The following is a 14,658-nucleotide window of genomic DNA, read 5'->3' on the forward strand; positions in this document are numbered from 1 at the left end:
ATACCATGGCAACATCAGGAAGTTACCCTATACGGTTTAAAAAGGGGAGACATGAACAATTCACTCCTTGTTTAGCATATAACCAAGAAATAACCACAAAAATGGATAACTCCAGAGGCTGTTCTGCCTATAGAGTAGGCATTCTTTTATTCCTTTACTTTCCTAATAAACTTGCCTTCACTTTACTCTATGGACTCGCCTCAAATTCTTTCTTGGGCGAGATCCAAGAACCCTCTCTTGGGATCTGGATTTGGACCCTGTTCCGGTAACATCTTTCTGGTGACCATGAAGGGACTATACTGAGGAGACCCCTAACCCAAAGGAAATAGACTGCAGTACTGATTGGCTGACTTTGGATAAATGGTCCGGTACCCAGATAAGGGATGAGATTGAGTTAGGGGCCCAACTTAGGGGAGTTAGAGCCTCTCCTAAGATGGAGAGGGTTAAAGGTCCCTCTTTATAAAAGGCAAGAACACTTGAATGAACTTGGATTAGAGTCAAAACTTAGGAAGTTTAGAGCCCTTCCTAAGATTTGGGGGGTTAGAGGCCCCTCTCAGTAAAGTCCCTGTAAGCTAAAAGTGAGTCTGGCACTATGGGATGTTAACCACAATTCTCTTTGGTTGAATCTGTCTTGCACTCTTTGCTTATGGCTATGAGTGACAGAATTAGGCATATATAGGATCATGGGACATGGGGAGCTTTTTCCTCCTCAGAAGGGGAAACTTGAGAGCTCATGGGACTGCTGGGAAAGATCCCTTCATGATTGACAAATGGCCACTTGAACTTTTGATTCAGCGTTGCTGGGATGGGTGGATGTTCCTCTGGCCTCCCTGCACATTTCACCTTCCCCACCCTGCTGCAGACAATGCTTTTCTTTCTCTCTTTCTTTCTGATATGGTTTGGCTCTGTGTTCCCACCCAAATCTCACCTTGAATTGTGATAATCCCTATGTGTCAAGGGTGGGAACAGGTGATCATTGAATCATGGGGGCGGTTCCCCCATACTGTTGTCATGATAGTGAGTGAGTTCTCATGAAAGCTGATGGTTTTATAAGGGGCTTCTCTTTTGCTCGGCACTCATTTTCTCTCTTGCAGCCCTGTGATGAGGTGCCTAACACCATGATTGTAAGTTTCCTGAGGCCTCCCCAGCCATGCAGAACTGTGAGTCAATTAAATGTCTTTTTTAAATAAATTACCCAGTTTTGGATATTTCTTCATAGCAGTGCAAGAAGGGACTAATATAGTAAATTGGTACCAGGAGTAGGGTAATAGTATAATGATACTTAAAAATGTGGAAGCAACTTTGGAACTGGGTAACAGGCAGAGGTTGGAACAGTTTGGAGGGCTCAGAATAAAACTGGGAAATGTGGGAAAGTTTGAAACTTCCTAGAAACTTGTTGAATGGCTTTGACCAAAATGCTGATAGTGATAGGGACAATGAAGTCCAGACTGAGGTGGTTTCAGATGGAGGTGAGGAACTTGTTGGAAACTGGAGTAAAGGTCACTCGTGCTATGCTTTAGCAAAGACACTGGTAAGATTTTGCTCCTGCCCTAGAGATGAACTTGAGAGAGATGATTTAGGGTATCTGGCAGAAGAAATTTCTAAGCAGCAAAGCATTCAAGAGAGAGCAGAGCATAAAAGTTTGGAAATTTTGCAGGATGATGATGTAATAGAAAAGAAAAACCCATTTTCTGAGGAGACATTCAAGCTGGCCACAGAAATTTGCATAAGTAACGAGGAGATGAATGTTAATAACCAAGACAATAGGGAAAATGTCTCCACGGCATGTCAGAGACCTTCATGGCAGACCTCTCATCACAGACACAGAGGCCTAGGAGGGAAAAATAGTTTCCTGGGCTGGGCCCCAAAACCCCCTGCTTTATGCAGCCTCGGGACATGGTGCCCTGTATTCCAGCTGCTTCAGCTCCAGCTGTGGCTAAAACGGGCCAGGTAAAGCTCAGGTCATTGCTTCAGAGTGTGCAAGCTTCAAGCCTTGGTGATTTCCATATAGTGTTGAGCCTGTGGCTGCACAGAAGTCAAGAACTGAGGTTTAGGAACCTCTGCCTAGATTTCAGAGGATGTATGGAAATACCTGGATGTCCAGGCAGAAGTGTGCTACAGGGGCAGAGCCCTCATGGAGAACCTCTGCTAGGGCAGTGCAGACGAGAAATGTGGGGTTGGAACCCTCCCACAGAGTCCCTACTGGGGCACTGCCTAGTGGAGCTATGAGAAGAGGGTCACCGTTCTCTAGACCCCAGAATGGTAGATCCACTGACAGCTTGCCCCGTGTGCTTGGAAAAGCTACAGGCACTCATTGCCAGCACATGAAAGCAGCCAGAAGAGGGGCTGTACCCTGCAAAGCCACAGGGATAGAGCAGCCCAGTTCTGTGGGAGCCCCATTCTTGCATCAGTATGACCTGAATATGAAACATGGAGTCAAAGGAGATCATTTTGGAACTTTAAGGTTTAATGACTGTCCTATTGGATTCAGACTTGCATGGAGTCTGTAGCCCCTTGGTTTTGGCCCATGTCTCCCATTTGGAATGGGTGTATTTACCAAATGCCTGTACCCACATTGTATCTAGGAAGTAACTAGCTTGCTTTTGATTTTACAGGCTCATAGGTGGAAGGGAATTGCTTTGTCTCAGATGAGATTTTGGACTTAAATTTTTAGGTTAATGCCAGAATGAGTTAAGACTTTGGGGGACTGTTGGAAGGGCATAAATGTATTTTGAAATATGAGGACATGAGATTTAGGAGGGGCCAGGGACAGAATAATATGTTTTGCCTCTGTGTTCTCACCTAAATCTCACCTTGAATTGTAATAATCCCCATGTGTCAAGGGTGAGACCAGGTGGAGATAATTGAATAATGGGGGCGGTTCCCCCATGCTGTTCTCATGATAGTAAGTGAGTTCTCATGAGATCTGATGGTTTTATAAGGGGCTGCCACCTTCACTTGGCACTCATTCTCTCTCCTGCCATGGTGTGAATAGGTGCCTTCTGCCATGATTGTAAGTTTCCTGAGGCCTCCCCAGCCATGCAGAACTGTGAGTCAATTAAACCTCTTTTCTTTACAAATTACCCAGTCTCAGGTATTTCTTCATAGCAGGGTAACAATGGAATAATGCACCCTCCTTTCCCTTTTTTATATTTTCTGTCACTCAGGGCAACCATCTTGCCCAGAGGCCACATGTTGAAAAATGTCCTTGGGAGCTTGACCTTGTAATCACATGGTGGTACTTTCTCTTGGTCTCTGCCATGCAGGGAATAGGAATTTGGGGGTTCAAGAGCTAGCCCTAAAAATTATCTTGAGCAGTTAAAAGCCTTTGAAAGTTCAAAACTGGCTTCTCTAGACTCCTTCTGGGAAGTACAGTGGAAATTGCCCAATGCTGTAGCTCAGCAGATAAGGCTTCACCGTTTTACTATAGTGGCCTGGGTTCAATATCCAGATTTTGGAATGAGTCTTTTCTGATTTGATATCTATGTGACCTTTGCCATTTTAAAATTCTTTTCCCCTCCATGAACCATCTTGAATTTTCCTTTCTCTGAGCACAGGGGATGTTTCTTTTAGTAAAGTTGAAAAGCCAGAAATATTGGACATTTGGCCTGGCTAAATTTGGGTAATAAGAAATTTAATTTAAAAAAAAAAAAGAGTGCTGTAGTTAAAAGTCAGTTTGATTAAAAGTAGATATTCAAGCTCTAACAGCCTGGGACTCCTTGGGGATAACAAGAGGTGCCACAGACCCCATTTTGGGAAAAACCTTTGTTTTCCTCATGAAACCTCAGGAATTGAAAATGTATAGATCCCTCTCAAAATCTAAGGCTTTGCATTGTGTTATCTGACATTTTTGACTTTGGAGGGTATCAGAAATTACTTTGCTAATATTATAAGAGAGTTTTAGTGTGTACCAACTAGATTGAAAATATACTTTTGGGGATGGCTAATAGCAGTTATGGGGGGATTCTTGGATTTGCACATTTGCATAAGAGAAGCATGCTCTTGGACACCTAGGAAGTATGCAGAAGTCCCTAGACTCCACCAAGAGATAAGACTCCCATGAGAGATGGGCTGATTCTCTCTTTTTGGGATCCAGGATGGTGGTATAAAAATGGGACTCTTAATTTTAGGGGTCTGTTTTTGCCTTCTAGCTGTGCCTGCTTATTAGGCTATACAAACTGCATGCTTTCCTGGCCCTGTTCTTCCAAGGGCTTCACCTTGAAGCCAGTAATTCAATTAGAAAACTGGCAAATGAAAAATCTTACGACTACTGGATCTTCTTCTGTCTGTATATTTATATGTGTTGTGTGTGATGATATAAAAGAGCTTTGATTAATGGCTTAAAAATAGTAAATGCTTAAATCAAATATTTTGTCAGAAAAGTAAAAAGTGGAATGCCTCTTAGATCACATGATTTAAGTAATCTTTGGAAAATAAAAACAGTTTTACAAGCAAGGTATGTAAGGAAAGTAAAATGTGTTTCTGGTAAAAGATTATAAGAAGGCAAGAGGATATAGTTTTTTTTCTTTTGTTTTGTTTTGTTTTGCCTAGATTTAAAAGTTGAAGGATTGTTTTAAATTGGATAAGATAAAGCTAAAAGTTTAAGCAAGTTGTGGAAGGCTTGCAAAAAGTTAATCTTGTAAAAGAAATTCTGAATATGAACATATTACCTAAAGTTAAAGGTATTATTCAATTTTTCCATAAATTGAACAATGGAATATAAGCACATCAGGTGTTTCTTAGAGCACTGATCTGCTCTTTCACAAAAATTATAAAGGCTTATAAGAGGTTTATAATCCACTTTGCTAGGGAGGTGAGAAAAAAAGTTTATAGGTATCTTATCTTATGGTCAAACTGATTAAGATTGAATAAATTTGTCTATAAAGTTTTATTAAGAATTAGGGAGTTTGTTAGAAGATGGCCAAATAGGAACAGCTCTGGTCTACAGCTCCCCGTGTGAGCGACGCAGAAGATGGGTGATTTCTGCATTTCCATCTGAGGTACTGGGTTCATCTCACTAGGGAGTGCCAGACAGTGGACGCAGGACAGTGGGTGCAGGGCGCCGTGCGCAAGCCCAAGCAGGGCTAGGCATTGCCTCACTCGGGAAGTGCAAGGGGTCAGGGAGTTCCTTTTCCTGGTCAAGGAAAGGGGTGACAGACAGAACCTGGAAAATCGGGTCACTCCCACCCCAATACTGCACTTTTCCGATGGGCTTAGGAAACGGCGCACCACAAGATTATATCCCGCACCTGGCTCGGAGGGTCCTATGCCCATGGAGTCTCCCTGATGGCAAGCACAGCAGTCTGAGATCAAACTGCAAGGCGGCAGCGAGGCTGGGGGAGGGGCGCCCACCATTGCCCAGGCTCGCTTAGGTAAACAAAGCAGCTGGGAAGCTCGAACTGGGTGGAGACCACCACAGCTCAAGGAGGTCTGCCTGCCTCTGTAGGCTCCACCCCAGGGCACAAACGAACAAAAAGACAGCAGTAACCTCTGCAGACTTAAAAGTCCCTGTCTGACAGTTTTGAAGAGAGCAGTGGTTCTCCCAGCACGCAGCTGGAGATCTGAGAACAGGCAGACTGCCTCCTCAAGTGGGTCCCTGACCCCTGACCCCCGAGCAGCCTAACTGGGAGGCACCCCCAAGTAGGGGCAGACTGACACCTCACACGGCTGGGTACTCTTCTGAGACAAAACTTCCAGAGGAACGATCAGACAGCAGCATTCGCGGTTCACAAAAATCCACGGTTCTGCAGCCACTGCTGCTGGTACCCAGGCAAAGAGGGTCTGGAGTGGACCTCTAGCAAACTCCAACAGACCTGCAGCTGAGGGTCCTGTCTGTTAAAAGGAAAACTAACAAACAGAAAGGACATCCACACCAAAAACCCATCTGTACATCACCATCATCAAAGACCAAAAGTAGATAATACCACAAAGATGGGGAAAAAACAGAGCAGAAAAACTGGAAACTCTAAAAAGCAGAGCACCTCTCCTCCTCCAAAGGAACGCAGTTCCTCACCAGCAACGGAACAAAGCTGGACGGAGAATGACTTTGACGAGTTGAGAGAAGAAGGCTTCAGATGATCAAACTACTCCGAGTTACAGGAGGAAATTCAAACCAAAGGCAAAGAAGTTGAAAATTTTGAAAAAAATTTAGACAAATTTATAACTAGAATAACCAATACAGAGAAGTGCTTAAAGGAGCTGATGGAGCTGAAAGCCAAGGGTCAAGAACTACGTGAAGAATGCAGAAGCCTCAGGAGCCGATGTGATCAACTGGAAGAAAGGGTATCAATGATGGAAAATGAAATGAATGAAATGAAGTGAGAAGGGAAGTTTAGAGAAAAAAGAATAAAAAGAAATGAACAAAGCCTCCAAGAAATATGGGGCTATGTGAAAAGACCAAATCTACATCTGATTGGTGTACCTGAAAGTGACAGGGAGAATGGAACCAAGTTGGAAAACACTCTGCAGGATATTATCCAGGAGAACTTCCCCAATCTAGCAAGGCAGGCCAACATTCAGATTCAGGAAATAAAGAGAACGCCACAAAGATACTCCTCGAGAAGAGCAACTCCAAGACACATAATTGTCAGATTCACCAAAGTTGAAATGAAGGAAAAAATGTTAAGGGCAGCCAGAGAGAAAGGTCGGGTCACCCACAAAGGGAAGCCCATCAGACTAACAGCGGATCTCTCGGCAGAAACTCTGCAAAGCCAGAAGAGAGTGGTGGCCAATATTCAACATTCTTAAAGAAAAGAATTTTCAACCCAGAATTTCATATCCAGCCAAACTAAGCTTCATAAGTGAAGAAGAAATAAAATACTTCACAGACAAGCAAATGCTGAGAGATTTTGTCACCACCAGGCCTGCTCTAAAAGAGCTCCTGAAGGAAGCACTAAACATGGAAAGGAACAACCGGTACCAGCCACTGCAAAATCCTGCCAAAATGTAAAGACCATCAAGACTAGGAAGAAACTGCATCAACTAATGAGCAAAATAACCAGCTAGCATCATAATGACAGGATCAAATTCACACATAACAATATTAACCTTAAATGTAAATGGACTAAATGCTCCAATTAAAAGACACAGACTGGCAAATTGGATAAAGAGTCAAGACCCATCAGTGTGCTGTATTCAGGAAACCCATCTCACGTGCAGAGACACACATAGGCTCAAAATAAAAGGATGGAGGAAGATCTACCAAGCAAATGGAAAACAAAAAAAGGCAGGGGTTGTAATCCTAGTCTCTGAGAAAATAAACTTTAAACCAACAAAGATCAAAAGAGACAAAGAAGGCCATTACATAATGGTAAAGGGATCAATTCAACAAGAAGAGCTAATTATCCTAAATATATATGTACCCAATACAGGAGCACCCAGATTCATAAAGCAAGTCCTGAGTGACCTACAAAGAGACTTAGACTCCCACACAATAATAATGGGAGAGTTTAACACCCCACTGTCAACATTAGACAGATCAATGAGACAGAAAGTTAACAAGGATACCCAGGAATTGAACTCAGCTCTGCACCAAGCAGACCTGATAGACATCTACAGAACTCTCCACCCCAAATCAACAGAATATACATTTTTTTCAGCACCACACCACACCTATTCCAAAATTGACCACATAGTTAGAAGTAAAGCTCTCCTCAGCAAATGTAAAAGAACAGAAATTATAACAAACTGTCTCTCACACCACAGTGCAATGAAACTAGAACTCAGGATTAAGAAACTCACTAAAAACTGCTCAACTACATGGAAACTGAACAACCTGCTCCTGAATGACTACTGGGTACATAACGAAATGAAGGCAGAAATAAAGATGTTCTTTGAAATCAATGCGAACAAGACACAACATACCAGCATCTCTGGGACACATTCAAAGCAGTGTGTAGAGGGAAATTTATAGCACTAAATGACCACAAAAGAAAGCAGGAAAGATCCAAAATTGACACCCTAACATCACAATTAAAAGAACTAGAAAAGCAAGAGCAAACACATTCAAAAGATAGCAGAAGGCAAGAAATAACTAAAATCAGAGCAGAACTGAAGGAAATAGAGACCAAAAAAACCCTTCAAAAAATTAATGAATCCAGGAGCTGGTTTTTTGAAAGGATCAACAAAATTGATAGACTGCTAGTGAGACTAATAAAGAAAAAAAGAGAGAATAATCAAATAGATGCAATAAAAAATGATAAAGGGGATATCACCACCGATCCCACAGAAATACAAACTATCATCAGAGAATACTACAAACACCTCTACGCAAATAAACTAGAAAATCTACAAGAAATGGATAAATTCCTCGACACATACACATTCCCAAGACTAAACCAGGAAGAAATTGAATCTCTGAATATACCAATAACAGGATCTGAAATTGTGGCAATAATCAATAGCTTACCAACCAAAAAGAGTCCAGGACCAGATGGATTCACAGCCGAATTCTACCAGAGGTACAAGGAGGAACTGGTACCATTCCTTCTGAAACTATTCCGATCAATAGAAAAAGAGGGAATCCTCCCTAACTCATTTTATGAGGCCGGCATCATCGTGATACCAAAGCCGGGCAGAAACACAACCAAAAAAGAGAATTTTTAGACCAATATCCTTGATGAACATTGATGCAAAAATCCTCAGTAAAATACTGGCAAACTGAATCCAGCAGCACATCAAAAAGCTTATCCACCATGATCAAGTGGGCTTCATCCCTGGGATGCAAGGCTGGTTCAATATACGCAAATCAATAAATGTAATCCAGCATATAAACAGAACCAAAGACAAAAACCACATGATTATCTCAATAGATGCAGAAAAGTCCTTTGACAAAATTCAACAACGCTTCATGCTAAAAACTCTCAATAAATTAAGTATTGATGGGAGGTATCTCAAAATAATAAGAGCTATCTGTGACAAACCCACAGCCAATATCATACTGAATGGGCAAAAACTGGAAGCATTCCCTTTGAAAACTGGCACAAGACAGGGATGCCCTCTCTCACCACTCCTATTCAACATAGTGTTGGAAGTTCTGGCCAGGGCAATTAGGCAGAAGAAGGAAATAAAGGGTATTCAATTAGGAAAAGAGGAAGTCAAATTGTCCCTGTTTGCAGATGACATGATTATATATCTAGAAAACCCCATTGTCTCAGCCCAAAATCTTCTTAAGCTGATAAGCAACTTCAGCAAAGTCTCAGGATACAAAATCAATGTACAAAAATCACAAGCATTCTTATACACCAACAACAGACGAACAGAGAGCCAAATCATGAGTGAATTCCCATTCACAATTGCTTCAAAGAGAATAAAATACTTAGGAATCCAACTTACAAGGGACGTGAAGGACCTCTTCAAGGAGAACTACAAACCACTGCTCAATGAAATAGAAGAGGATACAAACAAATGGAAGAACATTCCATGTTCATGGGTAGGAAGAATCAATATCATGAAAATGGCCATACTGCCCAAGGTAATTTATAGATTCAATGCCATTCCCATCAAGCTACTAATGACTTTCTTCACAGAATTGGAAAAAACTACTTTAAAGTTCATATGGAACCAAAAAAGAGCCCACATCACCAAGTCAATCCTAAGCCAAAAGAACGAAGCTGGAGGCATCACACTACCTGACTTCAAACTATACTACAAGGCTACAGTAACCAAAACAGCATGGTACTGGTACCAAAACAGAGATCTAGATCAATGGAACAGAACAGAGCCCTCAGAAATAACGCCGCATATCTACAACTATCTGATCTTTGACAAACCTGAGAAAAACAAGCAATGGGGAAAGGATTCCCTATTTAATAAATGGTGCTGGGAAAACTGGCTAGCCATATGTAGAAAGCTGAAACTGGATCCCTTCCTTACACCTTATACAAAATTAATTCAAGATGGATTAAAGACTTAAATGTTAGACCTAAAACCATAAAAACCCTAGAAGAAAATCTAGGCATTACCATTCAGGACATAGGCATGCGCAAGGACTTCATGTCTAAAACACCAAAAGCAATGGCAACAAAAGACAAAATTGACAAATGGGATCTAATTATACTATAGAGCTTCTGCACAGCAAAAGAAACTACCATTAGAGTGAACAGGCAACCTACAAAATGGTAGAAAATTTTCGCAAGCTACTCATCTGACAAAGGGCTAATATGCAGAATCTACAATGAACTCAAACAAATTTACAAGAAAAAAACAAACAACCCCATCAAAAAGTGGGCAAAGGATATGAACAGACACTTCTCAAAAGAAGACATTTATGCAGCCAAAAGACACATGAAAAAATGCTCATCATCACTGGCCATCAGAGAAATGCAAATCAAAACCACAAGGGGATACCATCTCACACCAATTAGAATGGCAATCATTAAAAAGTCAGGAAACAACAGGTGCTGGAGAGGATGTGGAGGAATAGGAACACTTTTACACTGTTGGTGGGAGTGTAAACTAGTTCAACAATTGTGGAAGTCAGTGTGGTGATTCCTCAGGGATCTAGAACTAGAAATACCATTTGACCCAGCCATCCCATTACTGAGTATATACCCAAAGGACTATAAATCACGCTGCTATAAAGACACATGCACACGTATGTTTTTTGCGGCACTATTCACAATAGCAAAGATTCGGAACCAACCCAAATGTCCAACAATGATAGACTGGATTAAGAAAATGTGGCACATATACACCATGGAATACTATGCAGCCATAAAAAATGATGAGTTCATGTCCTTTGTAGGGACATGGATGAAATTGGAAATCATCATTCTCAGTAAACTATCGCAAGGACAAAAAACCAAACACCGCATGTTCTCACTCATAGATGGGAATTGAACAATGAGAACACATGGACACAGGAAGGGGAACATCACACTTTGGGGACTGTTGTGGGGTGGGGGGAGGGGGGAGGGATAGCATTAGGAGATATACCTAATGCTAAATGACGAGTTAATGGGTGCAGCACACCAGCACCCATGTATACATATGTATACAGGCACATGTATACATATGTAACTAACCTGCACATTGTGCACATGTACCCTAAAACTTAAAGTATAATAATAATAATATAAAAAAGAGTTGTTAAACATATCTTGCCAATAAGACATTTCTCTTATAGAACCAAAGACCTAGGGTATTTACACAGCAGATATTTATTAAGAGCTTATTATGTGCAGATTCCAGTGAGGGTTATGACAATATAGGAGGACTATCTGAGAGCTATTAACTGTCTTGCAAACTATTTATACCTGTCCCCTTTCTTTGTGTATCTCCATTAAACAGTAGTTTGTGATGGCAAAAAAAAAAAAAAAATTAGTTTAACATTAATAGTACACTAATGCAACAGTAAAATTTGGCTTATTTGGTATAAAAGTCCTAAAGGAAGCATTGTAAAATACAAAGTTGGCTTTCTTTGGGCTGTATTTGTATAAATATGTTATTGGTATGTGTTCCAAAATTATGGGAAACTCTTACAATTCTCATAGGACTTAATGTTTGTTATTAATACTGATAATTGTTACATAAAATCATTGTATGCCACAGAGGTAACCAAAATTTCCTTGTCAATTGTGGCTTTAATAGTGGCTGTCCTAACTAAGACTTTTTGTCAGCCATTCCCTGGACAATTGTTGTCTTGTTTTGGTCCTCTTTAGAAAGTGGGTTATACTCAGCTATAGGACTTTCTGCTGTTAAATGCAGGTTCCCAGTGACTTTGGAAATTGTAACATTAAAATAGAGGGAAAAACTTTCAGGACTCTCAGGGAGAGCCGAAATGTTCATGAATATCAAGCAGAACAGGAGTTAACTGCATGGACTGAACTAATAAAAGACTAAAGTAATCTTTTTGACTTTTTGCTTAAAATGTTGCTGATCCTTTGTTCTGTTTTTCAAAGTCGAGGAAACTTTTCTCTTGAGCTACTGACAGCATTTAACAATTGAGTATAGTCTTGTGAACAAAAGTTGGAGCATATTTGTTTCTCTCTACCTGATTTCTCCAGAATTTGAAACTATTAATATTTGTGAGTATCTTAACTTAGGGCAATATAGTTATTTGCATAAGTGCAATAGGAATCTGTTTTCTTTTGCAACAAGACACAATTGGAGAAACTGGTTATTTTACCAAGGCTTTGGCTGAAATGGCTTGCTTTCCTTTAAGGAATCAAACTTGACTTGCAGAGCCAATAAATCTCCTTGGGAAAAACTGGCCTCATACTTTGTCTACACAGTCCCTGTACAGGGTTTATGACCTGTGGTAAGTAAAGAATGTCAATTTCTAACAGGCCCTGGAGGCCCAAGTTTTCCTGGGACCTCAATAGGAGGGGAATTTGCTCAGCTTATAGGTATTTGAAGGTATAAACCCATGCGTGGCCTCAGCTTTAAAAAAGCCTTATCTGAGATTCCTTCTCTGGAACAAAGTACCATCAGAACCAATTTAAAAAGAGCTTAGGTGACAAATATTCTTGCTGCACTTTATACAAATAATCAGACCAAGTATAATAAAGCAAATCAGTCTTACCATGATTTGTCTTTAGTAAAAATGGGAGATGGGAAACCAAAAAAAATTATGCTTTAAGAACTATGGCACACCTGTTATTACATTCTAGTCTCATCAGTTGTTCTTGAGCTTTCTCTCCTGACATTTAGAATGACATTGATTGTTACTGTGAACCGATCAGTGATCTCTGACAGCAGCTCAGAAGAAACAAGAGGAATGGGTAATGCAAAAATCTGGATTGATATTCTAATTCTGGACGGGTATTAGAATCAGTTAGCAACCCCATATCAGCTTGATTCCAACTGTTCAGTTAATGGAAAGTCTTCTAATTTAGTTTACTTGGGATAATATTGCTTATTTTCCTTTATTGTTGTGAAATATACTGGTGTTGCACTCTATGTGTAAGAATGCAGTATAAGCTTACCGAATGTTCTCTTAAATTGAACACATATTAATCTTCCAGATATCACTTTTCATTGGCACTCAAGAATTATGAATAGCCCTTGCCATATAAATGATTTCTGACTGAGCTTCTCTCTACCCTGAATGCAAGAGACCCAATAGTTAGGCAGGAATATCATTGCCCCTATTCAACCTGAAGATGTTACAGAAGAAGGATTATCCCTCTACAAGCCTTAGGATGAAGGGTTCTCTTATAAAAGGGAGGGGGAAATGTCAGAGGTGTTTGAACCAGAGCAACTCCATCTTGAATAAGGGCTAGATAAAATAAGGCTGAGACCTACTAGGCTGCATTCCCAGAAGGTTAAGGCATTCTTTGTCACAGGATAAGCTAGGAGGTCAACACGATATACAGGTCATATAGGCCTTACTGGTAAAATAGGTTGCAGTAAAGAAGCTGGCTAAAACTCACCAAAACTAAGAGGGCAACAAGAGTGACCTTTGATCGTCCTCACTGCTATACTCCCACCAGCACCATGACAGTTTACAAATGCCATGGCAATGTCAGGAAGTTACCCTATACGGCCTAAAAAGGGAAGGCATGAATCATCCACCCCTTGTTTAGCATATGATAAAGAAATAACCATAAAATGGGCAACCAGCAGCCCTAGGGGCTGCTCTGCCTTTGGAGTAGCCATTCTTTATTCCTTTACTTTCCTAATAAACTTGCTTTCACTTTACTCTACGGACTTGCCTTACATTCTTTCTTGTGCGAGATCCAAGAACCCTCTCTTGGGGCCTGGATCAGGACCTCTTTCTGGCAACAGAGTCAATATCAAAACTAAAGCATTCAGAACATTTATGTGCCAAAAAATACAGTGTCAAAATACAGAAGGCAAAAATTTTAGGCAATTAGAAAATAATTAACAAAACCATAACACAAGTTTCTGCCACTGACGTACCAAAGAAATAATAATCATCTATTGACTTCTGTACTTCAGAATAGTTTCCCAACCTACCAGCACTCTTGTGTCCTTAGATTTCTTAAGCCTTGCATCATTCATGGAGCTTGAGTTGCTGGAATATTTGGGTTGGCCACCTCCAGCCTTGAGCAGCTTTTTCTGGGACTCTTCAGCAAACAGCCAGAAGAGAGGGGCCTGAGAGCTTGACCCACAGTCCATGAAACCAATGAATACAATAGCAGTGTCTCTGGTGTAACACAGTGTGCATGATCAAAGAATGTCCTGCTGCTTGGGCGTCTGATCCAACAGCCACCTGAAGAGTGATCTGCTGCTGCCTGTCATAGACAAAGGCCCATGCAGCTACTAAGGAGTTCATGTAGTGATGCCCAAGCACTAAGTTGTGCAGCTCAAATAGTGGTGGAATGATAGGGTAGATGAGCAAGAATCTGCCCAGGCAGCAGCCCTAAATTTCTGCTATCACGTATTTTGGATACATCCATGCCTTTGTGGTTGATGTGCCTTCCAAGCCAGCAGCCAGCACCCTGTCTGTTCTAATGATGTACATGTAACCCACAAATTAGAGCTTTATAGTTATTTAAAAATATTGATATAAAAACTTTAATTACATGTAAACCCATTTTCTTTATCACAATTTATATCAGAATGTATTTGGGAAATAAAAGAAAGAACTGTTAATATCATTGAATATAATTTTAACTGTTGTAAAATTTTGAGTGTTTATTTTCAAATTTTTAAATTTATCTGCTTGCATAAACAAAGGTTAGTACAGCATGG

General features: G+C 40.6%; 1 long non-coding RNA gene across 2 annotated transcripts in view, besides 1 other annotated feature; it reads right to left on the reverse strand.

The window, feature by feature from the left end:
• The window catches only part of LOC153910 (uncharacterized), a 111,435-nt gene that overhangs the window by 45,645 nt on the left and 51,132 nt on the right, over nucleotides 1–14,658 (reverse strand). The gene's annotated exons all lie outside the window — the stretch shown is intronic.
• Nucleotides 5,241–5,767: an enhancer, noted in NCBI's record as "H3K27ac-H3K4me1 hESC enhancer chr6:142898477-142899003 (GRCh37/hg19 assembly coordinates)". NCBI's record gives its function as "activates a minimal SCP1, AML or CMV promoter by ChIP-STARR-seq in naive H9 embryonic stem cells {active_cell/tissue: H9 hESC(naive)}" and the evidence as "EXISTENCE:reporter gene assay evidence [ECO:0000049][PMID:30033119]".

Source organism: Homo sapiens, chromosome 6 (genome assembly GCF_000001405.40).
Source record: "Homo sapiens chromosome 6, GRCh38.p14 Primary Assembly".
In the NCBI taxonomy this organism is placed as follows: domain Eukaryota; kingdom Metazoa; phylum Chordata; class Mammalia; order Primates; family Hominidae; genus Homo; species Homo sapiens.